Here is a 27,241-nt window from a genome sequence, read left to right as displayed (position 1 = left end):
GCACCAACCTAATAGAACTGCTTGAAACCTTTCCTTTTTCCTCTTCCCCAGCTCCTAAACACAGCCCATTCCAAACAGATACAAGTATTATCTTGCATTTGTGAAACACCTGCACTTTAAAAACCTCTCACCTTTATAACCCTGAGGTGATACCCCTGCAATGAGCACCAGTAGTCATCCCTGAATGGGGCTCCTCAGAGTTATGAAATGTCCTTCCTGAGAGACAGGGAGGGCAGAAACAGTCTTGCTATTGTCTCTATTTGGCAAATGAAGAAAATGGCGCACAGAGACAATTAATGCCCTTTTATTAGAAACAGAATAGTGCCAGGCATGGTGGATCATGCCTGTAATCTCAACAGTTTGAGAAGCTGAGTTGGGAGGATCACTTGAGGCCAGGAGTTCAAGACCAGCCTTGGCAACATAGCGAGACCCTGTCTCTACAAAAAATTTTAAAAACTTGGCTGGAGGTACTGGTGCATACCTGTAGTCCCAGCTGCTAGGGAAGCTGAGGTGGGAGGATCACTTGAGCCCAGGGGTTCAAGGCTACAGAGAGCTAGGATCATGCCACTGTACTCCAGCCTGGATGACAGAGTGAAACCCTGTCTCTAAAAGTAAAATAAATACATAGAAACAGAATGAATTAGAAGATAAGCAATTCCACAGAGGCCAGAACTCTTTTCACGGCTCCAGGAGGTGTTACGTCCTGGATAGATGTTGTGGTCTTGTCATGGGTCTCTACTCTTTAGCTCCTTCCTGTCTGGTAGAACCCCCCCAAACTGAGCCACTCCCGTCCCTAGGCGGCCCCTTGTGTGGCTCTGTGAACACAGAGTTAGGACAAAACAGCTGATCTCGGCAAGAGCCCTCTGACACTCCATTCCATTCTGAATTGGGAAGGAAAATCCCTGAACTTTTGATTCAGCCTTGCCACTCACTTCCTGTAAGGCTATGCCCAAGGCATTTGACCTCCTGACCCTCATTTGCCTTATCTATGAAATGGTTAAACGATAAGATAAGGTAGAGAATGTTTTGTCAGATTGTAAAGTGCTATAAAAAATGTAAGATATTATCATTACTGGGGTTAAAAATGTCTCCATTCTCTGAACTCCTAATGTACATGTGTCAAGACCATACAACAGCACTAACATTTTCTCCCACCACTGTATTTCAAACGACTTGCCCTTCCTGCAGGTGCCATGTTTTTTCTTGTTTCCATGTCTAGGCAGGAGCTTTTCTCTCTGTCTCTGCTTGGGTTTTCTCCAAGTTACCTCCTGCTCATCTTTCAGGACTCTACTCGAGTGACACTTCCAGGAATTCTTTCCTGGTTGCCTTCCTCTGCAGTCTAAGTAGAATGTCCCACCTCTGTGTACCCATGATTCCCTGGGATCCCCTCTATTGCTTGTTGCTTTCCTTGTTTCCCCCATCAAAACCATAAACCCCTGCTAAGCAGGGGACCCTGCTTTTCTTTTATTTATTTATTTCCTTTCTTTCTTTCTTTCTTTATTATTATTACTTTTTTTGAGATAGGGTCTCCCTTTTCTGCCCAGGCTGGAGTGCAGTGGTGGAATCTCTGCTCACTGCAACCTCTGCCTCCAGAGTTCAAGCGAGTCTCCTGCCTCGGTCTCCCGAATAGCTGGGATTACAGGCACACACCACCATGCCCAGCTAATTTTTGTATTTTTAGTAGAGATGGGTTTTCATCCTGTTGCCCAGGTTGGCCTTGAACTCCTGGGCTCAAGTGATCCTCCTGCCTCAGCCTCCCAAAGGGCTGAGATTACAGGCATGAGCTACTGTGCCCAGCAGCAAGGGGAAGTTGCCTTTTTTTTTTTTTTTTTTTTTTTTTGAGAGGGAGTTTTGCTCTTGTTGCCCAGGCTGGAGTGTAGTGGTACGATCTCGGCTCACTGCAACCTCCGCCTCCTGAGTTTAAGCGATTCTCCTGCCTCAGCCTCCCAAGTAGCTGGGATTACAGGCACCCACCACCACGCCTGGCTAATTTTTTGTATTTTTAGTAGAGACGGGGTTTCACCATGTTGGCCAGGCTTGTCTCAAACTCCTCACCTCAGGGGATCCACTCACCTTGGCCTCCCAAAGTGCTGGGATTACAGGCGTGAGCCACCATGCCCAGGGACCTTGCTTTTATATCCTCATACACAGCACTGTGTTAACATATAGACAGTGCTTGATAAGGGCTTGTTGAGGATGAATGAATAAAAAACAGATATGAGTTGTATGTTTCCTCAACCCAGGTATAAGTTACTTGAGGAAAATGAAAGAACACTAGACTTGAAATTAGGGGACCTGGATTGTTCTTCTCTGCTTCATGTTAGTATTGGAGGAGAGCCTTTTGGCAGCAGCATCAGAAGATGCCCCTTAATCTGGGTCTAACATGATTTGGGGCATTTATTTTCACCATTCCCAGAGCACTTGTCCCAAAGTTTGAGTCAAATTCCAGACTACAGAGTTCTACAATTTCAACTTGAGAAAATGTCATTTGCTCCTGAAAAATTGCAGATTTATTGCCTCCCTTTGCCTGTTACATTCTCTGCCACTGAGAAACTATATTTCCCTGCTGGATGAGTGCTTCTTCCGCAGCCACTTAGTAATCACTGGAAAACCTATTGTTTTTACTATTGTGTCTTGATTAGACATTAGTGTTTATTCAGCCTAAAATGTTCCAGGTACTGCACATGAATTACAGCATTTTGGAATTAGAAGGAGCCTTAGAAATTGTGGGGTTTAGAGCTTGATACATGAGTTTGAATCCTGGCTTCTCAGACAAACCTTAGTTTTTTCATCTGTCAAATGGGGATAGTAATAGTTCAGTTTTTCTGAGTACTAAATAGTATAAACACCCTCTAATTAGGAACATCTTCAGTATATAGTGCCTTGGATACAAGAAGATTGAATAATTGTTTGTTTTCTTCCTCACTTCATTTTACCAATCAGTAGCTTAAGGCCCAGAGTAGTAAAAAGATCTAAACAATATCAAATCGCTAGTCTGGAAAACACCCAGAGTTTGAACCTGGTATCTTAATGTCAAGCCCCAAACTATTTCTTTTTCCCATATGATAAATTTATAAAATCTCTTAACTATCTACCTAAGAAGTAACTTTTCCTAGGCTACAAGCAGATATCTCAGTTGGCAAGCCAAGTAAAGAACAGCAAGTTAATTTTTTTTAATTTTTATTTATTTATTTTTTAGGCAGGGCCTTGCTCTGTTGTCCAGTCTGGAGTGCAGTGGCAGCTTCTTAGCTCACTGCAGCCTCGAACTCCTTGCTTCAAGCAATCCTCCTGCTTTGGCCTCCAACAGTATTGAGGTTACAGGCATAAGCCACTAGGCCTGGCCAAGAACAGCAAATATCTGAAAAAGAAACACACAGCTCTCTCTAAGAGACTGGTGTCCAAAACTTAGGGATCTCCTGTACAAGCAAAGTCAGCTTCCCTCAAATACTTTGTCACCAAGGCTAGTCTAGTCCATGATGAAAGTTTAAATTCAGGCCAATGGGTAATTTGTGCAAAATGCATTTATTTCCCCAGGGTAAACTCACTTATGCACCCCTGCTCTCAGCATACCCTCTAGATGTTTCAGGGCCTTTGGTCAAGGGATTGGTGACTCCACTTGATGGCAGCAGCCTCCTTGTTAGGTTTCCTACCCTCAGTCTCAGTATTAGTTGGTTTTCACACTGCTGATAAAGACATACCCAAGACTGGGAAATTTACAAAAGAAAGACATTTAACTGGACTTACAGTTCCATGTGGCTGGGGAAACCTCACAGTCATAGTGGAAGGCAAGGAGGAGCAAGTCATGTCTTACATGGATGGCAGGAGGCAAAGAGGGAGAGAGCTTGTGCAGGGGAACTCCTATTTTTAAAACCACCAGATCTCATGAGACTTATTCATTATCACAAGAACAGCACAGGAAAGACTTGCCCTCATGATTCAATTACCTCCCACCAGATCCCTCCCACAACACATGTGAATTCAAGATGAGATTTGGGTGGAGACACAGCCAAACCATATCACCACCTTTCCAACTCATTCTCCTGGTTGACATCAGAATTCTCTTTCTAGAACATAGATATGGTCCTGTCACTCCTCTGATCAAAAACTATCTCAATGGTTCCTGATTTCTATAAGATGAGGTACAGACTTTTTAACACAGGGAAAACATGAGTGCATTTTAAAATGTATGTACATATGCATTTTACTGGCAGGATCATATATCTATTAGTTTGCAAGGGCTGCCATAACAAAGTACCACTGACTAGTTGGCTTAAACTAAATTTATATTCTCACAGTTCTGGAGGCTAGAAGCCCAACATCAAAGTGTCAGCAGGATTGGTTTCTTTTGAAGACATTTCGTCTTGGCTTACAGATGGCCATATTCTCCCTGTGTCCTCACATGGTCCTTCTTCTGTGCACACACACCACTGGTGTCTCTATGTGTGTATAAATTTCCTTTTATAAAGTCAGATTGGATTAGAGCTGACCCTAATGCTCTCATTTAACTTAATCACCTTTTTAAAGACCCTATCTCCAAATACAGTCACATTCTGCAGTACTGGGGATTAGGACTTCAACATATGAATTTTGGGGGGGATGCAATATGTGTGCATTAAGTACATTTTAAAACTATGAGCCTAGAGTTTATCAAAGAGTTATTAAAAATTAAATTACTTGGCTAATTGTTATATTTCAGATGTAAATTCTCTTAGAAGGAAAGTCCAATAATTTGGTGTTACTAAATGTTTAACTGGCTTGAGGTGGACATTCAGAACTGCTATAGTGGAACTCTCAGAATTAGTGATGCTGCTGGGTCTCAAACATCACTTCAGGGGCCTTCTCAACCAGACTGTGGCCTGATTGGAAGCAGAGATTCCATCTCATTAAATGTTAGAGCCAGGCATGGTGGCTCATGCCTGTAATCTCAGCACTTTGGGAGGCTAAGGTGAGTGGATCACTTGCGGTCAGGAGTTCGAGACCAGCCTGGCTAACATAGTGAAACTCCATCTCTACTAAAAATACAAAAGTTAGCTGGGTATGGTGGCGGGCGCCTATAATCCCAACTACTTAGGAGGCTGAAGTAGGAGAATCACTTGAACCTGGGAGGTGGATGTTGCAGTGAGCTGAGATCGTGCCACTGCACTCCAGCCTCGGCGACAGAGTGAGACTCCATCTCAAAAAAAAAAAAACAAAACAAACAAACAAAAAAAAACACCCCTAGCCTAATACCTGAAAGGCATTCATACAGTGAAATCCATCACCCCAAAGCCCTGCCCCTTCCATACCTGCTTTTTGGTTTCACTGAGCCTCATTCTCATCCCCAAGCCTATCTCTCACTCTCTTGTGTCTTAGCTTTTCTGTCATCCTTGAATGCCCTTTTCCCTTGAATGCCAACTTATTCATCATGTTCTGACTTATATGTTACAGTGTTTACTCCCTCCTATCTCTCATAGTATCATATACATCTTGCTATTTAGCAAATAGCATGATGTATTTTATTTTGTTTTTTAATTTTTAAAAAATTTTTGAGACAGGGTCTCACTCTGTCACCCAGGCTGGAGTACAGTGGCACAATCACAAATCACTACAGCCTCAACCTCCTGGGCTCAAGCAATCTTCCCAACTCATCCTCTCAAGTAGCTTGGACCATAGGTACGGCTCACCACATCTGGCTAATTTTGTAATTTTTTTGTAGAGATGGGGTCTCACTATGTTGCCCAGGCTGGTCTCAAACTCCTGGGATCAAATGATTCTCCCGCCAAAGTGCTGGGATTACAGATGTGAGCCACCACATCCAAAGCATGATGTATTTTAATCTTTTTAAATTAATTTTTAAAATAGAGACAAGATTTCACCATGTTTCCCAGACTGGTCTCGAACTCCTGAACTTGAGTGATCCACCCGTCTTGGCCTCCTAAAGTGCTAGGATTACAGGCATGCACCACCACACCTGGCCACAGCATGATGTATTTTAAAGGTCAGTTTGCCTGTCTCTCTCACTAGACTTTAAACTTCTTGAGGGCAAGAAAAAATATTCTATTACACAATAAGGACTTAGTATTAACTAGAGGAGTCTGTCTGCAATTCTGCATGGTGGCTTGGGTGGTGGTCATACACATGGATGGGCACAGGGAGTGGATTTGCCTTAGCCCCATGTTTTCCCACACCCAAGAACATCTACCTGCTCTGCCTGACTCCAGGCCAAAAAGAGGACAGAGGTCGTTTCATTATGAGGCCCCAGAATGCTCAGATCAACCCTCAAAGAGCGCCCCATCAAAAAAGAACTCTGGAAGTTAATTACTCTATATCCCCCATCCACTCTTCTTCCTCTTAGTACTCTGCCATCTGACCCTAGCACTGCCAGCTTCTCAGTCCAGGCAGGCTGCAAGAATGACCTGTCTTTGGAAAATGTATATGACATTAGATCAGTGGAGGGAGGAGGGGGTGGTATATTTTGTTATGAATGTGACTGGAAAACAAAATTGGGAATAATTATTTCTGGGATGTGATATTATGAGTGACTTATTTTATTCTGCAGAATAAGTTGTACTGTCTAAATTTTCTATGAAGAGAATGTTTGACTTGTATAATTGAAAATAAAGGCCAGGGCATGGGGGCTCACGCCTGTAATCCCAGCACTTTGGGAGGCAGAGGCGGGCAAATCACTTGAGGTCAGGTTCAAGACCAGCCTGATCAACATGTCAAAACCCCATCTCTACGAAAAAATGCAAAAATTAGCCGGGCGTGGTGGTGTGCACCTGTAGTCTCAGCTACTTGTGAGGCTGAGGCACGAGAATTGCTTGAACCCTGGAGGCATAGGTTGCAGTGAGCTGAGTTTGCAACACTGCGCTCCAGCCTGGGCAACAGAGTGAGACTCTGTCTCAAAAAAAGAAAGGAAAGCCAGGCATTGTGGATCACGCCTGTATTCTCAGCATTTTGGGAGGTTGAGGCGGGTAGATCACTTGAGCCCACGAATTCAAGAACAGCCTGTGCAACATGGCAACATCCTATCTCTACGAAATATACAAAAATTAGCTGGGTGTGATGGTGCGTGCCTGTAGTCCTAAATACTTGGGAGGCTGAGGTGCGAGGATCACCCAGGGAGCCATAATTGCCCCACTGCACTCCAGTCTGGGTGACAGAGGCCCTGTCTCAAAGAAAAAAAAGAAAGAAAGAAAAAAAAGAAATGTGGGGCCTGGATATTATGAGATTACTGAACCAACCAGGAAAAACCTGAGCAGCTGGCTGGGTAAGACTTGGGAGGGGAGTCAGTTGGTGCCATCCCTCCCCTGGCTGTGGTTTAGCACTTCCTATTAGTGACCGTCCTCTCTACTTTAAATATTCATGAAAATGATTCTGGGAACTGTGGCTGGCTGGATTTCCTTTCTTTTTCCTTTTCTCCTTTCCTTTCTTCTTTCTTTCTTTTTTTTTTTTTTTTTTTTTTTTTTTTTTGACATGAGGTCTTGTTCTGTCATCCAGGCTGGAGTACAGTGTGATCATGGCTCACCGCAGCCTTGACCACCCAGGCTAAAGCAATCTACCCACCTCAGCCTTCCAAGTAGCTGGGGACACAGGTGTGTATCACCACGTCTGGCTAATTTTAAAAATTATTTGTAGAGGTCTCGCTATGTTGCAAAGACTGGTCTTGAACTCCTGGGCTCAAGCAATCCTTCTGCCTCGGCCTCCCAAAGTGCTGGGATTACAGGCTTGAGCCACTACATCTGGCCCTGGCTGGGTTTCAACAGTAGCAATACACAGAATCCTCCAATTGGCTGATTCTCTTATTGTCAACCAAGTTTTCAGACCCTGGGGACTCTCAGCGTAATACAGCTCTCTGTCTTTTGTCCACCTAAGACTTTCTGTTCATGCTTCCTCAGAGAAGAGGTGGGCAGATGTTTTTGGAAGTGGCAGTTAGAGTCAATCACCTCATATCTGAATTTGTGTTATGAGGGAGGTTCATTATCTTGGGACTTGTGGCAACCACAGAGGTGCATCACTCAGATCTTCCTTTAAGAAAGAAGTTGCTGCTCAGCTGCAAGCAGTGCAGTTAGCCGATAGCCTCCATTTGTTAGCTATTGAGCTGAGGTCATGCTCTTCTTGGGCATCCCCCAGCCAATGACTAAGCATGGTAGGGATACTAGGGCCTGGCCGTTTTTGCCTAATGTGGGGCTTTTCTAATGAGTAATCTTTGTTCCAGAACTTTCCAGAGGGTCATCAAGACATTCTCAGATCCACATCATGGTCTGAGACTTTTCCTACACAATCCTGCTTCTTCCCCACTTTTATCTTTTATAGGCATAATTATCCCCAACAACCTCTTGCAATCCTAACTCCAGCTCAGTGGATCCTAGTGACAGAATTTTGCACCTGCATGCGTGTGTGTGTGTGTGTGTGTGAGAGAGAGAGTGTTTGGTAAAGACTCATGAATATGATTAACACCTAAGCCATCCACGCAGCACTAAAGGACCTACTAATTTAGCTAACATGTACAAAAACCTACTCTTACAGGAACTTTGTTCCTATTCTCAAAAAAGCCAAGTCTAATGAAGGAGACAGAGAAGAAAATGGATCAGCCAAATATATCGTGATATCTTAGTGTATACATGCATGCTTCTAATTCTTTAAGTAAATGGAAACCTCTATGAGTTCTCAATGTTCTCATCCTACTGTTTTCTTTAGCGGGTTGAAAATTCCTCCTGCAATCTTGTTCATTATTTTGCTTTGCAAAGTATTTTGCTACTCACACAACAAAGTTACGCTCGAATGCACATCCAGTTGGGAAATTCTAACAAATTCTGAATCGGAATTGAACAAATTCTAAATTGAAATAATGAGTCCCTGAATAACAGAGTTGATTATATTGTCCTCAGTATTTCAGTTTCTGGTGCTTTTGTTATTTTTGGCCCTGAAATGACTGATGATCAGCAGATCTGATAATGACAGTGATGACTGAAGTCCAGAAATAATAAGGCATAAGCCATAGTTACATTAAAGCCAATAATAATAATAAGCCTCATACCTTAAATCCTTAGTTCACTAATTGTACCTGTAACCTAAGAAACCACAGCAAGCAACTGTTGAGAGGAAATCCAAGAACACAACAGAGGAGCCAATATTCTGTAGCATCACAGTTGGATTTTCTCTGTTCTAAGAAACTCTAAAAGGATTTGTTGCCACCTTTCGGGAGTTCACTGCAAGGTAGAAGTTGAGGCATATGTTAATTTTTTGAATCACTTATAAAAGGGCATGAATGGTATCTTTGACATAGAAGTACCCAAATCTACCAGGCTTTCAGCATCTTTTCCTTTAATATATATTTTGTAATGGACCATCAATGACAATGAAAAAGGAAGGAAACATTTATTGAACACCTACCATGTGCCAGGTACTATGTTCTGTACTTTATCATTTAATCTTTTGTAATTATTATCTGCATTTTGGGGAAAAAAAGAAATAAAATTGATAGGTAATGTGGCCCAATTCTTTTTTTTTTTTTTTTTGAGACGGAGTCTCGCTCTGTTGCCCAGGCTGGAGTGCAGTGGCCGGATCTCCGCTCACTGCAAGCTCCGCCTCCTGGGTTCACGCCATTCTCCCGCCTCAGCCTCCCGAGTGGCTGGGACTACAGGCGCCCGCCACCACGCCCGGCTAATTTTTTGTATTTTCAGTAGAGACGGGGTTTCACCGTGTTAGCCAGGATGGTGTCGATCTCCTGACCTCGTGATCCGCCCGCCTCGGCCTCCCAAAGTGCTGGGATTACAGGCGTGAGCCACTGCGCCCAGCCGATGTGCCCCAATTCTTTTTAATAGTGCAAGGATAGAAAATAAAATCCAAGTGGTTTTGACTTGCAACATTTTGTTGCACACACAGATACTTTTAGAAAATTTGACATATAGTACTTTGAAAAAAACTACACCAAAAAATCAAGTCTTAATTCTTAGTTGCTATGAGGCATTAACTTCTGAATTGTTTGTTTTGTGGAAATCCTACCTTTAAGATTTGGGATGTCTTTTCCTACACAAAGGGAGTGTTGTGATTTGGTAAGCAGCATCTGCTTCAACCACCGTGAGTCCTAGATTCTGTATCACAATTGATCATTGAGGGGCAGACTATTTTCTCATAGAAACGGCTTTGTCATTGGTGGTTGCATTCCTGAGCTACATTCTCAGCACCAAATAAATCAAAGGAAGAAGCACTGATAAAAACAAACATATACCTTCATAATAATTTCGAATAATCACTGCCTCACAGCCTATAAAATGAACACAATTTTTCAAGGGCTGGTCCCCAGAGTACTCTTATAAACACTACATGTAGCATATACAACACACAAGTCTAGAGTCTCATAAAATGAGCCCAAAATTAACATTCTAGCCATTATATACACACATATATGTGGGTATATATATATAAATTAAACATTTAAATAAGAATTTTGCTTGCATTTTAGAATTTTAGAAGAATTTTAAAAGAGAACTTAGCCGGGTGCGGTGGCTCACATCTATAGTCCAGCACTTTGGGAGGCCATGATCTGTGGGCAGATCACAAGGTCAGGAGTTCGAGACCAGCCTGGCCAACATAGTGAAACCCCACCTTTATTAAAAATGCAAAAATTAGCTGGGTGTGGTGGAGGGTGCCTGTAATCCCAGCTGCTTAGGAGGCTGAGGCAGGAGAATTGCTTGAGCCTGGGAGGCAGAGGTTGCAGTGAGCCAAGATTGCGCCATTGCACTCCAGCCTGGGCGATAGAGCAAGAATCTGTCTCAAAAAAATAAATAAAAATAAATAAATAAAAGATGACTTAAATTAACCATAATGCTCTAAACTGGCTACTAAGTTATCAAGTAGGTTGATCAGGGAAGTGCTATAAATGTAATGTGTCCAAATATCCTCAAGCTTTTGGAAATAATTTGACAGGAGGATTGCAGTGGAGGGGAGATAAAAATGTGTACAAGTTGAATGTCAGTAACTATCATTGCAACAAATACTGATTGAGTGTCGTGCATGGTGTTACTCTATCTGCATTATTTCATTTAATTCTCACAAAAACCTTATGAATAAGACACTGTTTTTACAATTATTTTAAGATGAAGAAACTGACAAGAGTTAAATAACTTGTCTAAGGATGCACACAGGTAGGAAATGAAAAGGCAAGGATAAAGGCCAAAGCTATTGACTGTAGAGTCTTTTCTTTCTTCCCCAAACAATAATGACTCATTTTCTTTCTTTTTTTGTTTTTCTTTCTTTCTTTCTTTCTTTCTTTTTTTTAGAGATGAAGTCTCCCTATGTTGCCCAGGCTGGTCTTGAACTCCTGCGCTCAAGCGATCCTCCCACCTCGACCTTCCAAAGTGCTGGGATTACAGCCATGAACCACGATGCCCAACATGACTCACTTTCTTGTGCACTTCTCTGTGGTAGGTACTACTGTGACTTCATTACATATGTTTAGTCATCTAATCCTTGCAACAGTCTTGTGAGGAGAGTACTATTATTATCCTCATTTTACAGTTGAAGAAAGGAAGCATAGGTAAGTTCACGTGTAATTAGCAGAGCAGTCATTCCTAAAGAGTACTAATTGCTGATCAAAGGCAACCAGAGAGAAGGTCTCTAATGCCATGCCACAGTGGTCTGTCTCTGCTATAAGATTTTTGTTCACAATTTACTTGGCTAAAGACTATGATCTACTGCCCAAATATGAGAAAGCATGAATTTTGTTGGGATAACTAATATGCTGAATGGCAGAATCAGGATCCAAAAATATCCCAGTGGTCAAGATGTAACTATGAGAGAACTGTCTGAGATTTGAGCAAAGACAAAATTACTACAGACAGAAAACTTATCAAAAACTTATCTAAGAGTATAGCCATCTGTAGGATGGTTGGTCAATAACTGAAGCAAAGATACACACAAGTCACAGGGGCAAAGGGGAAAAGAATCCTGAGTGCATGAATGCATGGTTCTTGTGACATGTTTATCTTTGTGCTAGAGATGGACATAGCACACTACCATAGTAGAAGATCAACACTGCTGTTGGTGGAACATTCCATCTTTAGGAGAAATTTAAGGACACCTGACTCTATCCTTAGAAGGGAAGCATTTGGATATTTTTGGGCTATGGTCTTGGGTGCTAGAGGGAGTGAGAGGTTTAACTGAAATGTAGTGAGCAAAGAGTTTAAAAGCTATTGTGATTCTCAAGCAACATTATCTTGTATGTAAGAAACTGCAAAGAATCTACAAAAACGTATCATAACTAGTAAGTCCGTTTAATGAGCATCAAAAGAATAAGATACTTAGGACTAAATTAGACGAGAGAAAGGCAAACTTGTACAAAACACTGCTAAGATAAATTTAAAAGGACTTATATAAAATGGGAGAGATATGATGTCATGGGTTGGAAGATTCAATATTGTTAAGATGACAATTTCCCAATATTGATGTATAAATTCAGTGTAGGCTGAATGCGGTGCCTCAAGCCTGTAATCCCAACACTTTGGGAGGCCAAGGCTGGAGGTTGCTTGAGGCCATCCTGGGCAACATAGCAAGATCCCGTCTCTGCCAAAAAAAAAAAAATTAGCTGGGTATAGTGGCATGTGCCTATAGTCCTAGCTACTACAGAGGCTGAGGCGGGAGGATCCCTTGAGCCCAGGAGTTTGAGGTAGCAGTGAGATATTATATGATCATGCCACTGCACTTCAGCCTAGGTGACAGAGCAAGACTCTCTCTCTAAAAAAATAAATAAATAAAACTAAATAAAATAAATTCAATGTAATATCTGTCAAAATCCTAGTAGGCTATTTTTGTTGTTGTTGAGACAGAGTCTTGCTCTCTGCAGTGGTGCAATCATGGCTCACTTCAGCCTCAACTTCGTGGGCTCAAGCAATCCTCCCGCCTCAGCCCCCCAACTACCTGATATTACAGTTGTGCACCACCATGACTGGCTAATTAAAAAACATTTTTTTTTAGAGAAGAGGTCTCACTATATTGTCCAGGCTGGTCTCAAACTCCTGGGCTCAAGCAATCCTCCCACCTCAGCACCCCCACTACCTGAGACTACAGGTGTGCACCACCATGACCGGCTAATTAAAAAAATTTTTTTTTGAGAAGGGATCTCACCATATTGCCCAGGCCAGTCTCAAACTACCAGGCTCAAGCAATCCTCCCACCTCAGCGCCCCCAAGCAGCTGAGACTACAGGTGTGCACCACCATGTCTGGCTAATTAAAAAAAAAATTTTTTTTAGAGAAGGGGTCTCACTATATTGCCCAGGCTGGTCTTGAACTACTGGGCTCAAGCAATCCTCCTGCCTTGGCCTCCCAAAGAGCTGAGATTACAGGCATGAGCCACCATGTCCAGCCTTTTTTTCTTTAAATTGACAAGCTATTCCTAAATTTTATATGGAAGTGGCTGCCTAAGGATTGATCACCATCATGAATGACACAATAACTACTTGAATCAGGAAGTTTATGACCAGCCAACTCCTTGAGATGAACAAATCGTCATTGATGTCCTTCACCCTGGAAAGTTATCAGTACCCAACACACAAATTTGGGAGATGAACAAATGTTCATTGATGTCCTTCACCCTGGAAAGTTATCAGTACCCAACACAGAAATTTGGGAAAAACTATCCAAAATGTACAAGGCTACACTGGATGTCAGTTACTTGGGAGGCTGAGGCATGGGAATCACTTGAACCCAGGAGGTGGAGGTTGCAGTGAGCCAAGATCACACCACTGCACTCCAGCCTGGGCGACAGAGTGAGACTCTGTCTCAAAATTAAAAAGATGCTGAACATCATAAGTCATCAGAAAAATGCAAATTAAAACCAAAATGAGATACCACTATACACTTACTAGAATGGCTAAGACAAAAAAGATTGACCAAGTGAACAAGTGTTGACCAGCATATGGAGAAACTCACATATTGCTGGTGGGAATGTATTTGGATTCAGAACTCATTCTGGTGGTGGCAAGACAACCGGCTTTGATGTGATTTATGATTCCTTGGATTATGCAAAGAAAAACGAAGCCAAACATAGACTTGCAAGACATAGCTTGGATGAGAAGGAAAAGACCTCAAAAAGAACACAAGAACAGAATGAAGAAAGTTAGGGGGACTGCAAAGGCCAATGGTGGTGCTGGCAAAAAGCCACAGGAATAAAGATGCTGCATGACGTTATCTGCAGCCACTGTGTGGACTTTTCATAAGAAGATTAATAAGCTAATAACTTTCATGTGGCAAAAAAGTTTATATGAAAGTGCAAAGAATCCAGAATAGTGAAACAATTTTGATAAAGAAAAAGTTGAAGGATTTACCTGATTCTAAAACTTACTACAATGCCACAGTAATCAAGAAAGCATTATAAAGACAGAACAATAGATATTTAGATAAATGGAAGACTAGAAAGTCCAATAGCAGACTTCACACTTTTGTTGTTGTTGTTGTTGTTGTTGTTTTTGAGACAGAGTCTCACTCTCACCTAGGCTGGAGTTCCGTGGCATAATCTCGGCTCACTACAACCTCTGCCTCCCAGGTTCAAGCAATACTCCTGCCTCAGCCTCCTGAGTAGCTGGGATTGCAGATGCGTGCCACCACACCTGGCTAATTTTTGTATTTTTTTTTTTAGTAGAGACGGGCTTTGCCATGTTGGCCATGCTGGTCTTGAACTCTGGACCTCAGGTGATCTGGCCTCCTCGTCCTCCCAAAGTGCTGGGATTACAGGCATGAGCCACTGTGCGGCCCACGCTTTGGTTCAATTGATTTTCAAGAAACGTGCCAAATAATTCAGTGGGGAAAGAATAGTCTTTTCAACAGAAGGTGCTGGAACAGCTGAATAACCACATGCAAAAAGATGAAATTTGACCTTAACTTCACATTATATACAACAACTTGAATAAAACAGGACAAAATCTTTGCAGCCTTCGATTAGGCAGATTTCTTGCACATGACAGAAAAAGCATGAACAATCTAAGACACAGCTGACAAGTTAAAACTTTATAAAAATTAAAACTTCTGCTCTTCAAAAGACACCACTGAGAAATGACAATATTTGCAAAACATACATCTGATGAAGGACTTGCATCCATAATATATTAAAAACTTCTAAAATTCGGCAATAAGAAAATAACCCAGTAAGAAATGAGCAAAATAGACCACGCATAGTTGCTTATGCCTGTAATTCCAGCACTTTGGGAGGCCGAGGCAAGAGGACTGCTTGAGCCCAGGAATTCAAGACCAGCCTGGGTGACATGGTGGAACAAAAGAATACAAACAAATACAAAAATTAGCTGAGTAGGGTGGCATGGGCCTGTAGTCCCAGCTACTTGGGGGAATGAGGCGGGAGGATCACTTGTGCCCAGGAGGTTGAGGCTGCATTGAGCCATGATTGTGCCACAGCACTCCAGCCTGGGTGACAAAGCGAGACCCTGTCTCAAAAAAAAAAAAAAAAAAAAATTCAAAACAAAATGGAAAGCAATTATGCCCTTATGACACCTCCTTCCTCTTTGGCTGGCCTCTGAAACATCTGGTGCCTCAGTAACTCTGGGGTAAATTTCTCCTTGAGTTCTCCTCCCCAGAGCCTTGGAAGGCCTTGAGGGAGACCTGGAGTGGATTGACTAGCAAGTAACCCTAACCCTGGGGAAGCATCTTCTTTCTCTTGGTGGAGGTTAGAAACAGAAAACTGACAAACAGGAGCACATGTAGAAGACCATGCACAGGATGGCGAAGGCCTTATAATCACGTCCTAGTCATTCTTCATTCTTCCATCAAATACTTGTTGTCTTCACTCTGCCAAATAAGTCAAATAAGTGCTGTGGCTATAAAACAATGAACATTACTGACAAGGTGCTTGCTCTCATGGAGCTTATATTCTAATAGTGTAAAGCAGAGCACAGAGCATACATAGCTGGGTGGATAAATAGAAGAAAGTAATAAGAAAACAACGTTAAGTCCTCTGCAGTTAAAAGGGTGAGAGCACAGAATGACTGAACCACAAGAGGGAGCCAGTCGTGCAAAGACCAAAGGGAGGCACATCAGAGGCACCATTTCTGTCTTAACTGCCATAGCCATTTGAAGCCCTCTATTCCATCTTTAACCAGCTTAAATTTCAGAGTCGATCTGTATAATCACTCCCTGAACTCCCTGACCACTTTAATTCTGCCATGCTGGTGGGCAAAACTGCAACTCCGGTTAAATCCAACTTTCCACCCATACTGTTTCTGTACCCATGAGCTGGTCATAGATGGAAAACAGACAGACAGATAGACAAACACACCCACCCACACACACACCAAGCTGTTTGGTCTTACTTTAAAGGTATCACTAGGAACTTAAGTAGGCCCTTGCTATTTTCCCAGCAAATGTCCTGTATTTCCCTGGTCCTTTCACTCTCCTACTCTATTCATGGACATTTTCATCTCTGTTCTTCTCTTCTCCCCCATCCTCACTCTCAGCTGTCGACTGTGCTTCTTTCCTCACTGAAAAAACTGAAGAATCAGAAGAGAACTTCCATTCACTCTTACCATGCACACTTATCCATGCAGGGGTACGGCTTTAGGCCCTGCCTTTCTCCCTGTCAGTAAGGAAGCACTCTTGGTGCAGCCATGCAAAAGCCTCCACTTGTGCGTTAGATCTCACCCCTCTCGCAGAATAAAGAACACTAGACCAGCAAATCCTCCCTGTCTACCCTACTTCATCAATTTTTCCTCTACTGGATCATTTCTATCAGTATACAACCATGCTGTTGTGTCAACCATTTCAAAAACAAAAATCTCCTCTTGACAGCACTTCCCTTATTGGTTACCTTCTTATTTCTCTGTAACCCTTGTAGCCAGTTGTCTATACTAGCTGTCTCTAATTCCTCTTCTCCTATTATTCTCTCTTAAATTCTCTCCAATCCAGCTTTTGTGCACCACTGAGCTGAAACTGATCTTTCCAAGATCAACAAAACCAGCAAAACTCTATCAGAAGGAAAAAAAGAATGAGGCAGCTGTAAGTTAGGGAAGACGTGTTAGGGGAAGGAAATGGGCAGAAGAGGACTAGACTGAGTACCTGTAACAAAAGAATTCCTTACATGTGTTGTATTCTTTCCACTCCGTTTGGACCATAATTATATATACATATATGTATATATATTTCCTTATTTTCTTTGGAATCTAGTGTTTCCCAGATTGTCAAAGCAGGCTATTAGAGTGAAATCTGAATATTAGACTAATCTGCTCACCATTTAGGGAAAAGGAGAGTAAAACAAAATCATAGCAGTGAGAGAGCTTTTATTTTATGTTTGCTTACCTCTGAAATTGACGTGAAACCTCAGAAACCTAAAAGTCTCTTTAACCTAACCAGGAATGATTTAAACAGTCTAAGAAAGAGTTGCCCCCAAACAATATCCCTCTATTCTAAGATAAATGTAGTTGTGGTAATTTTGCAGCTATCCCTTTTTAAAAATGGCCCAGCCAGGAATTATGTATATTAACCTCAGGTAGCTTTGAAAGTCTGGCTGCAGTACTGTGCTTTCTGATCTTATCAGTGAGAACAACTGTGACTTACCTCAGTGAGGTGGCCTCACTCCTTTAGTGGGCAGGGTGATTCCTATGGATCTAGCACCAAATGAGGTAAACATTTAACAATTACATTTAACAATTGTCCCAATCAGTTGGTTAATATAGGGAATCTCATTAGACAGTGCATATCAGTGTCTGGGAAAATGCAAGTAACAATCCATTCATGAGTTATAAAATTAATTTGATGGGTCGACCAATTTTTTAAAAAATGAAATAAAATAGAAAATATCAGAGTGCATTACACAGACTTAGGATAAGACATAGTTCGTGAGACTTTGGTTTCAGTTGTGAAGAGGTATGTTCTGGTTCATAAGATTACAATTTTTTTATTTTTTATTTTTTATTTTTTTTTGAGACAGAGTCTCGCTCAGCCGCCCAGACTGGAGTGCAGTGGTGCGATCTTGGCTCACTGCAACCACTGTCTCCCGTGTTCAAGCAATTCTCCATCTCCATCCATAATGCAATAACCAGTGTGGCAGAATGTACTAATCAAAATTCGAGAACATTTGGACATTTTCCACATCATTTTCAGCATCATATATCACTAGGCATGAGCAGAAACAAGAGGAATCTGGGGCACTTTAGAGTGGGGCTTTCATGTGCAATACCAGTAAGAGCTTGAACTTTGTAAGTTAAACTACCATAATAGAGATGTTACACTTTACAAACTATTTCACAAACTTGATTTCATTTGAGTTTCTTGTCCATCCTTTGTAGCAAGCAAGGCAAAAAGGTAGCAGCATCTGTGGCAGGTTTCAATGATCCATCCAGTTTAGATCACAAGCCCAGCCAGCAGCTGGGAGGAAGGCTCTTACCCACAGTCCCAGAGAAAGAGCTGGCAAGGGTGAAAAACTATATGTGGGCTCCAGCCAAGTAAACTGGGGTTCGGGGCAGAAATCCAGTTCCAGGAGGGAGAATGGGAAGGGTGAACAGGAACTGGGGCAGAAGCCCAGATAGTAAACAAAGCACACAGGTGGCGAGGCCCATCCTCGGGCACATTGGATTCCAAGCTCACACCCACAGAGTTCCAGAACTCCATGCCTGGCTTTGAAGAAGTAGCAAAGAATATCATGTGGATAAGGGACATGGTGTAGAGGTTATCAGGCACCTGCAAAGGAAAGAAGAGACTGTAGGAATTGGAAAGTTAATCAATCAGCCTGGCATGAGTAGGGTTGCCAGATAAAACACAGGATGCCTACTGAAATTTGGATTTCAGATAAACAATGGAAATGTTTTAGTATTAAGTATGTGTCATGCAATATTTGGGACGTGTTTATGCCAAAAAGTTATTGTTTATCTGCAATTTATATTTAACTATGCGTCTCATATTTTTATTTAATAAATCTGGCAACTCTTCCTGTGGGTGTGATGGAGGATGAGGCTGGAAGGCTTGGCAGAGCAAGATCACAAAGGGTCTTGTGTGTCATGCTTGGCAGATAATGGGGAGCCAGGAAAGTTTTTTAAGCAGGGGAACAGTGTAACAGGGTTTGCATTTTAGAATCACTGTAGTAGCCTGTGGAAAACAAAACAGAGTTCAGAAGGACAGGAACTGAGAGACCAGAAAGCTATTTCAATAGTTCAGATTTGAGGGAAATTGAAAATAACTTAACCCACTTCACAGTTCTGCCTAAAGCTAGCAAGGCTCCCAGGTTTCCAGGTTCACTTGGGCTACAGAGACCAACTATTCTTTCAAGAGCTACTCTTTGTTTTTGTTTTATTTGAGATGGAGTCTTGCTCTGTCGCCAGGCTGGATTGCAGTGGCGTGATCTCGGCTCACTGCAACCTCCACCTCCTGGGTTCAAGCGATTCTCCTGCCTCAGCCTCCTGAGTAGCTGGTACTACAGGCACATGCCACCACGCCCAGCTAATTTTTTTTTTTTAAGTAGAGACGGGGTTTCACCATGTTGGCCAGGATGGTCTCTTGACCTCGTGATCCACCTGCCTCGGCCTCCCAAAATGCTGGGATTACAGGTGTGAGCCACTGCGCCCAGCCTACTCTTTGTTTTAAGGAACAAAAAAAAGCTCTGGTGGAGCGTAGAATATATTTATTTATTTATTTATTTTTGAGACGGAGTCTCGCTCTGTTGCCCAGGCTGGAGTACAGTGGCGCGATCTCGGCTCACCGCAAGCTCCGCCTCCCGGGTTCACGCCATTCTCCTGCCTCAGCCTCCCGAGTAGCTGGGACTACAGGCAGCCGCTACCATGCCCGGCTAATTTTTTTTTTTGTATTTTCAGTAGAGACGGGGTTTCACCATGTTAGCCAGGATGGTCTCGATCTCCTGACCTCGTGATCCGCCCACCTCGGCCTCCCAAAGTGCTGGGATTACAGGCGTGAGCCACCGCGCCCGGCCGAATATATTTATATATACATAATATAGTGTCAGGCCGGGTGCGGTGGCTCACGCCTGTGATCCCAGCACTTTGGGAGGCCAAGGCAGGCAGATTCACGAGGTCAGGAGATCAAGACTATCCTGGCTAACACGGTGAAACCCCGTCTCTACTAAAAATACAAACAATTAGCTGGGTGTGGTGGTGGACGCCTATAGTCCCAGCTACTCGGGAGGCTGAGGCAGGAGAATGGCGTGAACCCAGGAGGCAGAGCTTGCAGTGAGCCAAGATCGCGCCACTGCACTCCAGCCTGGCTGACAGAGCGAGACTCCATCTCAAAAAAAAAAAAAAAAAAAAAAAAAAAATATATATATATATATATAAACACACATATATATACTGAGTGTCTTGCCCAAATCCTGTGTCAATCACATACTTCTTGAGGAAGCTAGAAAGATATGTGTATATATCAATCTCTCAATAGACTAAGCTCAGTATCTCTTTCACTATTGCATCCCCTGTAGGTAATCAATAAACATTTGATTCTTAGATGATGAGTTCCATAAGGGCAAAGTCTGTTATCTTCATCATCTTTGTTTCTTTAGCACCCCACCCAGGGCTGGGAATAAGTTTCTCAGAAAATAGTTCTTGATTAAAGTGGTTTAATTAATTAACAACCAGAAGTGCTTCCTATTAACTACATTTCTCCAACATTACTTCAAAGGTACAACCTGGCATATTTTTCACATGAACGCAAAAGAAGCTTGCCTCTTATAATGGATCAGAAAATTGTTTCTTAAAGCTGAGGAATTATACTGACTAGATGGAGTTTTAAAGATAGTATTCCTCATTTATGTGAAAATGTGAGATTTTTTTTCTTGAATTTTCCTGCTTCCACAAGCTTTATCATTGTGTCGATACTAGTAAATCTTTAAAAAAAACCCAATCTTAATTAAATACAGCTCAGGTAGATCATCATAAACTGGTACAAAGTGGTCTTCTCTTTCGGTTACCAGTATCAGTCTAGTTCCTTGTATCTGTATCTCTTCCAAAGCTGAAGTGTGAACTTTTTGAGGCCAGGAACTATTCTGATTTATCTTCATAGTCACAGAACTTTCATTAATAGTAGGTTTATTGAATTTCCAAGGTCAGGCAGCCAAAAGGGAAAGAATAATTCTGGGAAGTGCATGGGGTAAATAAAATGCAGTTTAAAAATTATTATAATGACCCTTTATTGAAGATTATTTTCCGAGTATCATGCTAGGTGCTTTACATATGTCTTAATACATTTTGATTACACTTCAATTCTAAAAACTCTTGAGCTAGCTGTTATAATGCTCATATTATGGGTAAAGAAACTAAGAATCGCAACTGATAAATAACTTGCCCAGACTGACACAGTTAACAAATTGGCAGAGCTGAGATTAGTACCAGACTCCAAAGTCTGTGCTCTCACCATGACTCCAGGAATTGTCATTTTCAAGTACATATTGGAGAGAGGAAGACTGGTGAGGTGCTTATAAGAACTTCCTTTAATCAGCCACTACATGGTACCTCAGAAGACTAAAGTTTGATTTTTTAAAAATGTGTGAGTGCACATGTGTGTAAAACAAGAGGTATGGAGGTATTTATTATAACTATATGTTTTGAGCCATGTTCTTTTTTTTTCTGTTCAGTTTTGTATTCAAAAGAACAAATGACTTTACATATATAATTAGACTTCATCTCCACCTTGACTGCAAACTGATGATATACTTAAATTACTATCACACTGTTGTTATCAAGGATTAAACATATGGGTTGTAGATGTTACAATCATTCATACCAATTTCATTTACCCCATCCAGAGGAATACATGTAGATCATGTTCAGATATGCAATGGAACCTTATCAGTCCAGATGTATAAGAACTGATCTGTGACAATCCAGATCCTCCTCTGAGCTGTAATTGTATACGGCAGTTATTCTGTTTTTTGTTTGTTTTGTTGTCGTTGTTGTTTTTGGTAAACGTGTACTTTTTGCCTGATGCTAACATCTTTTCAACAGTCCTCTTTTGCCTGCTCAACCGCCAGTCTCCCAGTTCAGTGATCCCAGGAAGAATCAGAGTCTTGTCTGCCCATGATGATTTGCTTCCAGTCTGCACCAGGTTAAATCACACCTTAAACTTTATCAAACTTTTGGAGTCTAAAAGCAAAAGCAACTCACAAAGTGCAAAGGTTGGCATAACTAATTTATTCATATGAATCAGAAAGAATTTAAAGAAGAGGAACCAAATATGGTAAAACGAGGGGCGGGGCGGGGCGAGGGGGGAAGCAGTTGATTTAAAAAATTGAGAAAAGCAAAACATGTTTTGCCTGGCTTTGTAACTAAAGAAGACTGCCAAAAATGGTCTGCAGAGGTGTAAGAATCAAAAAGCATCTCCAGTGTTCTACCTTCACCAGAAACATGCAAGGAATTTCCTAGGATGGAATTATGGAAAAGATCCTCTTCAGGCCTTCATTTGCTCATTCATTGCTAGTCATGGTGCTAAATATGGGAGATATAAAATGAGTATGGCATGGCCCTGGCCTCAAAGCTTACCCTAGTGGGAGATACAGCAACTGTGCCGTACGCTGATCTGTGAAAGGCACCAGAAAATAAATGTAAAAACCATACAGTGGATGCACAAAGGGGAGAGTGGTCAACTCTGTGAGTCTAATAAAAATAATTCACAATAAGCACATAGCGATGTTCCGTGAGTCCCGTCCCCACCCCATCCTCTTATAGCCAACCCCTAAGAGAAACGACAGGTGAGCAGGGCGCAATCCAAGCTGGGCTCTAATTAAATGTGTGCCCTAGAGCAACTCCTAGCACTACTCAGAGTCTCCGTTTCTCTCCCTGTAAAAGCCAGGAACCCTGCTCAACTATGAAGTCCATTTCTGCTCTGAATTAAGAAATAGAGGAAAAAAAAAAAAACCAGAAAGGAAACTCACGAAAAACAAAAGTGAAAGTGCCTGAAGGGAACCCAGTAGTAAACAAGAGTACAAAATTCTATATCTCACCGGAAAACAGTGGCAGAGTTCCCAAATATTTTTTTTTCAGCAACTGTGAACTTCGGAAAGAATGAAATGTCTATCACTCCCTTTGAATGTGAATAAGATCAGTGTAACACGAATCCACCTTGCTCTATGCAACTGTCTTCTGAAACAATCCTCTGACCCTGAACACCACTTATTTAAATAAGCGGTTCTTAAATCAATCAATCCGTAGTGAATGGTCCATCCCCACAAAACCAATCCCCATTGAAGACCACACCAAGTTGTGCCCCACTTTGGGAAAAGGGGGAAAGCGGGGGTAGAGAAAGAGGGGAAGGATTGGAACCAACATTAGATTGTGCCTGGTGTTGCCACGCGGTTGTCATAAACAACGGCGTCGAAGCAAACTGTTTTAAAACTTAGAAAATACGGCGGCCTTTAAACTCTATTATGTCCCTGCTCATGGCAATAGTGGGACTTCTCTGAACGTAGCCCACAACGGTACAGCCGCCCGGGAGGGAAAGCGAGCTCTGGGGCGGACAGGCGAGTGAAGGCAGCCAGAGGAGGGGAGCAGGCTGACAGCTCCCCCAGCTTCCGCGGCGCGTGGGGGACCAGGACGGGCGACCGCCACAATCAGAGGGTGCGAGCTGGACCCACCGGGGCCACTGGTCTCCAGGGTGGGAGGATGGCTGCTGCCTGTCCGCTGCCGGAGCCTCCTTTCTCCCAGCAGAGGAGGGAGAGCGCGCGCACGTACACACACTCTCATACACACACGCACGCACACACATCCTTCCCTTAGAGTTGTGTCTCGTCTCCCTTTTGTTTTTCTCCCTTCCCGGTCATGAGACCCGGAAGTTTTTTTTTTTTTTTTTTTTAATCCCGTCTCTCTCCCTTTTCCAACCCCCCCGCCATCTATCACATGGCAGAGATAGAATAAAAACAGAAAAATGGCGACGGTCACGTTGTGGCGAGCCTTGCTGCGTCATTAGATAATCCTCATGCAAATAGCGGGAAGAACAAAGGAAGGGGAGCCCGGGACCCCCGGGGGCGCAGGTGGGTGTGGGGGCGGCGGCCGGGCGCGGGGGCGGCGGGGCGCGCGGGGCCGAGCGCCCGCGGGAGGCGGGCTGCGTGGGGCGTGCGGCCGCGCGAGGCTCGGGGCGCAGAGTGTGGACGTCCGAGTGCGCGCCCGTGCGCCGCCGTGGAGCGCTGGCTGCTGCGCTCCCGGCCCCGTCTCGCGGCGCGTCGGAGCCGGCCTGGGGACGCGGGAAGCCGTGGGGCGCACAGAGCGGCTCCGGCGAGGCTGGCCGCGGCGCACACGCACACGCAGCCGTGGGGCTCGGCCCGCTAGGCATCCGCACTGGGGTCTGGGGGCGGGCCAGGCGGCGCCGGGGGCCGAGGGCGCGCCACTGCCCAGCGCCTAGCGCCTGCCTTCAGCCTCCTCCGGGGACCGCACGCAGTTCGCCACCTCGGGGTAGGCGGCGGAGCGCGGGGGCGGCGGCGCGGGGCGGGCCGGGCCGGGCCTCCGCACTCCGGGACCGACTGCGAGGGTGTTGCCGGACTGGGTTTGTTGTTGTTAGCGCGTGCGTGTGTTTTTCCCGAGGGGTAGCGGGGCGACCTCGCCCATGGGCATTTCCGCGGTTTTGCGCGGCCCTCGCTGGGGTGTCAGTGGCAACGCGGGGAGCCCCGGGCGCCTGGCTCGGCCCCCGGAGGGGAGCGGCGCGGAGGGGCGGGGTGTGTGTGTAAATGTTGCGCACTCGCTTTTCCCCCGCCCCCGCCCGCGTCCAGGGTGCTGGCGTGGGTCCCTTGCCGTCCGGCGGCGACTGTAAATAGAGCCTGGATGTTGTTTACATGAAGGATCCGGCGGGAGGAGTCTAAGAGGAGGAGGCGGCGGTGCCGGAGGAGGAGGAGGAGGGAGGGAGAAGAGAGGAAGACCGGAGTCCCCGCGGCGGCGGCGGTCCGGAGAGAGGGCGAGCCCCGCGCGGCGCCGGGGACCGGGCGCTACCACGAGGCCGGGACGCTGGAGTCTGGGGTAGGAGGGAGAACGGGCACGGGGCGGGAAGAGGGGTCCGTCAGTGGCATTTTTAGCTTGCACCCTGCCACGCAGATTCTCCCCGGCCGGAGGGGAGGAGGGTGGAGGGAGGGCGGGGAAGCCTCGGTTTCTCTGCACGTTCGGGAACGCCTTCTCCCCCTTCATTCTCCCATTCCCAGTGTTTTCCCGCTTCTCCCCGGGCTCACCTGTTTATTTCCATCAGCTAGAGCTCGTGGTTTTTTAATATAGGCATGAGAGTCTGTTTCTTTTATTAGAAACATTATTGGGGAGAGGGGTGCTTTGCTGTAATTTGTGCTGGTCCAGGTCGGTTTTCAGGAAGGGGGAGGGGACTTGGCGGAGACGCCGGCTCCTGGCCGCAGCTGACCCCAGGGCTTCTCCCTGCCTTCCTGTGCGAGGAATTCTTTCCCTCACTCTGCTACCCGCACGCCAGCTGCCACCTTCCTGGAGAAAGACCACACCTGTGCTTATCCCTGCTTTGAAGGAGAGGTGAGCTGAGAAACCAGGGAATCCCCTGCTCTCCAGGGTTCTTAGTTAGTCCTCTCCGCAATCCCAGCATTGGCCAAAAATTGCTGCTTTCACCTGCTGATTTAATTTGGCATGTCTGTCCCCAGCCCCCCTTTCCCCCGGCAAGTTGTGATCTGCAGATGTTTTGGGATTTTCTCTTCCCTCTGGACCTGTCCCCCACCAACCAGCAAATAGCTCCTGGGCCTAGGTTGAGGGAGAGAGAGAAGTGACCCCCTTTGGCCAGTGCGCTGTTTTTTATTCCCCTCTGGGTCTTCTAATGGAATCTGCTGTCCCTCCGTAGCCCCCTTTATTTTCCCCTTAAGCTTAACCCAGAGCCAGGCCTAAGCAGCCTGTCTCTGGCTTTCTTTCCCCAGGCCCCACCCTGGCCCCTTTTGCTTTTCCAGCGCCAAAAAAAACGCCTCCCAAGCAGAAGACACACCCAGCCCAAGTCTAACCATTCCAAAAGGGAGGAAAACACAGAGGAAGAGCAGGGACCCAAGGGTCTCCTGTCCTGAATATTCCAACAGCGTTTCCCTCTAAAAGCCTCCTAGCTTTATAATCCCTTTATTCTGCTTACCAGTCGACCCTCCCCTCCTCTTTGCCCCTTGTTCTGTGATAGATATTTGGGGAGAGGGGTGGAGAAAGAGGTTGTCACCCTCTGTTCCTTACAGTGAGGCATTTTTCTTTTTCTCAGTCTTTTCATTTATTAGATGTTTAGCATGTAAAATATGTAAATCTGTTTGCAGGCTTATTTGAACTTGTTTTCTTGCTGGCTAAGGAATAGCTGATATTCTATAAAGGGAAGGAGGGGGGAAAAGATCAAAAGTAACACTCTGAGTTTTCCCCATTTGAGCATCCCCAGAGTTGCCAGAGAAGACCCTCCTATAAAAACCAACAGTCTCCCTTCCATGACATCACCACCTAAGCCCTTCCAACTTTAGCTTCAGAACAGGAAGAAGGCTCAAAATAGAACTACCTTAGGAATCCAGCTCCTTGAAAAGATCAACTTTTAAATCAGCTGCAGGAGGAACACAATGAACTTTGACATGGGGAGTGAGAAGGGAGAGAAGACTGTATAGTGTTCATAATTGGTTCCTTTGAGGGAGGGTTGGGGGATACTTACCGTGTATTTCAGAAAAGCTTTCCTCTAGAGTTGGGTACCTAGACCACTGAATGATAAATAGGATGGTTCAAGATTCATTTATTGAATTATTCATAAGTTTTTGTACGTCAACAATAACAAGCACGTTTCAGAATATGAATTAAAGAGGGGCCTCTCTGCAGAATCTGCTCTAGATAGAGAAGGTTGTTTCAGGAAGCTAGGAGGGCACTTGAAGACAGAGAACCTGAGGATGCAGTGACAGCTGCTGTGAGTATGTAAGTTGAGAGGCTCATAAACAATAATTGTGATAAACAATAATTGTAACTTTTGTAGGTGACTGATACCCTGGACAAAGAAGTAAGGATGTCAGGATTTTCCACCTCTACCTTGGAAATTAACTTCTTGTCTTTGAATCTCACTCAGTGTCTCCATTCAGTCCCTGAATTGAGATATGCTTTCCTCTCTGAGCTAAAATACTCAGTCTTTTGGAAGGGCTACCTAATAAACGATAATCACTGAAGTGTTGACAACTTAAAGATTGGAAGTGGAGCAGAAAATACTTGGTATAATTTGAGCACTTGGTGGGTGCTGTAAGATGACTTTCTGGTTGATGGGGTAACATCTTTTACTCTGGTTCGGGTTTAAAAGAATCCAGGTGACAGAGACAGGATACCTGCCCTAATATGGTAG

General features: G+C 44.0%; 1 protein-coding gene and 1 pseudogene across 4 annotated transcripts in view, besides 3 other annotated features; both read left to right on the top strand.

Moving 5' to 3' along the window:
* On the top strand, window positions 13,930-14,140 carry LOC100129205 (ribosomal protein S24 pseudogene; annotated as a pseudogene).
* Window positions 15,907-15,956: a silencer, noted in NCBI's record as "silent region_963". NCBI's record gives its function as "represses an Ori minimal core promoter by ATAC-STARR-seq in GM12878 lymphoblastoid cells {active_cell/tissue: GM12878}" and the evidence as "EXISTENCE:reporter gene assay evidence [ECO:0000049][PMID:35858748]".
* Window positions 15,977-16,026: a silencer, noted in NCBI's record as "silent region_962". NCBI's record gives its function as "represses an Ori minimal core promoter by ATAC-STARR-seq in GM12878 lymphoblastoid cells {active_cell/tissue: GM12878}" and the evidence as "EXISTENCE:reporter gene assay evidence [ECO:0000049][PMID:35858748]".
* JAK1 (Janus kinase 1) overlaps window positions 23,806-27,241 on the top strand; it is a 234,518-nt gene continuing 231,082 nt past the window's right edge. For 2 of the 4 annotated variants that reach the window (NM_001321854.2, NM_001321853.2), the window contains exons 1-2: window positions 23,806-23,948; window positions 24,750-24,924. The gene's annotated coding sequence lies outside the window, so the exon portion shown is untranslated. The remainder of the gene's footprint in view (window positions 23,949-24,749; window positions 24,925-27,241) is intronic. The other 2 variants (XM_047419676.1, NM_001321852.2) reach the window with 1 other exon arrangement.
* Window positions 24,078-24,677: a silencer, noted in NCBI's record as "silent region_961". NCBI's record gives its function as "represses an Ori minimal core promoter by ATAC-STARR-seq in GM12878 lymphoblastoid cells {active_cell/tissue: GM12878}" and the evidence as "EXISTENCE:reporter gene assay evidence [ECO:0000049][PMID:35858748]".

The sequence above is a fragment of the Homo sapiens genome, chromosome 1 (genome assembly GCF_000001405.40).
Source record: "Homo sapiens chromosome 1, GRCh38.p14 Primary Assembly".
NCBI lineage: Eukaryota > Metazoa > Chordata > Mammalia > Primates > Hominidae > Homo > Homo sapiens.
Note: the sequence above shows the minus strand (reverse complement) of the source record. Positions and strands in the feature narration are given on the sequence as shown.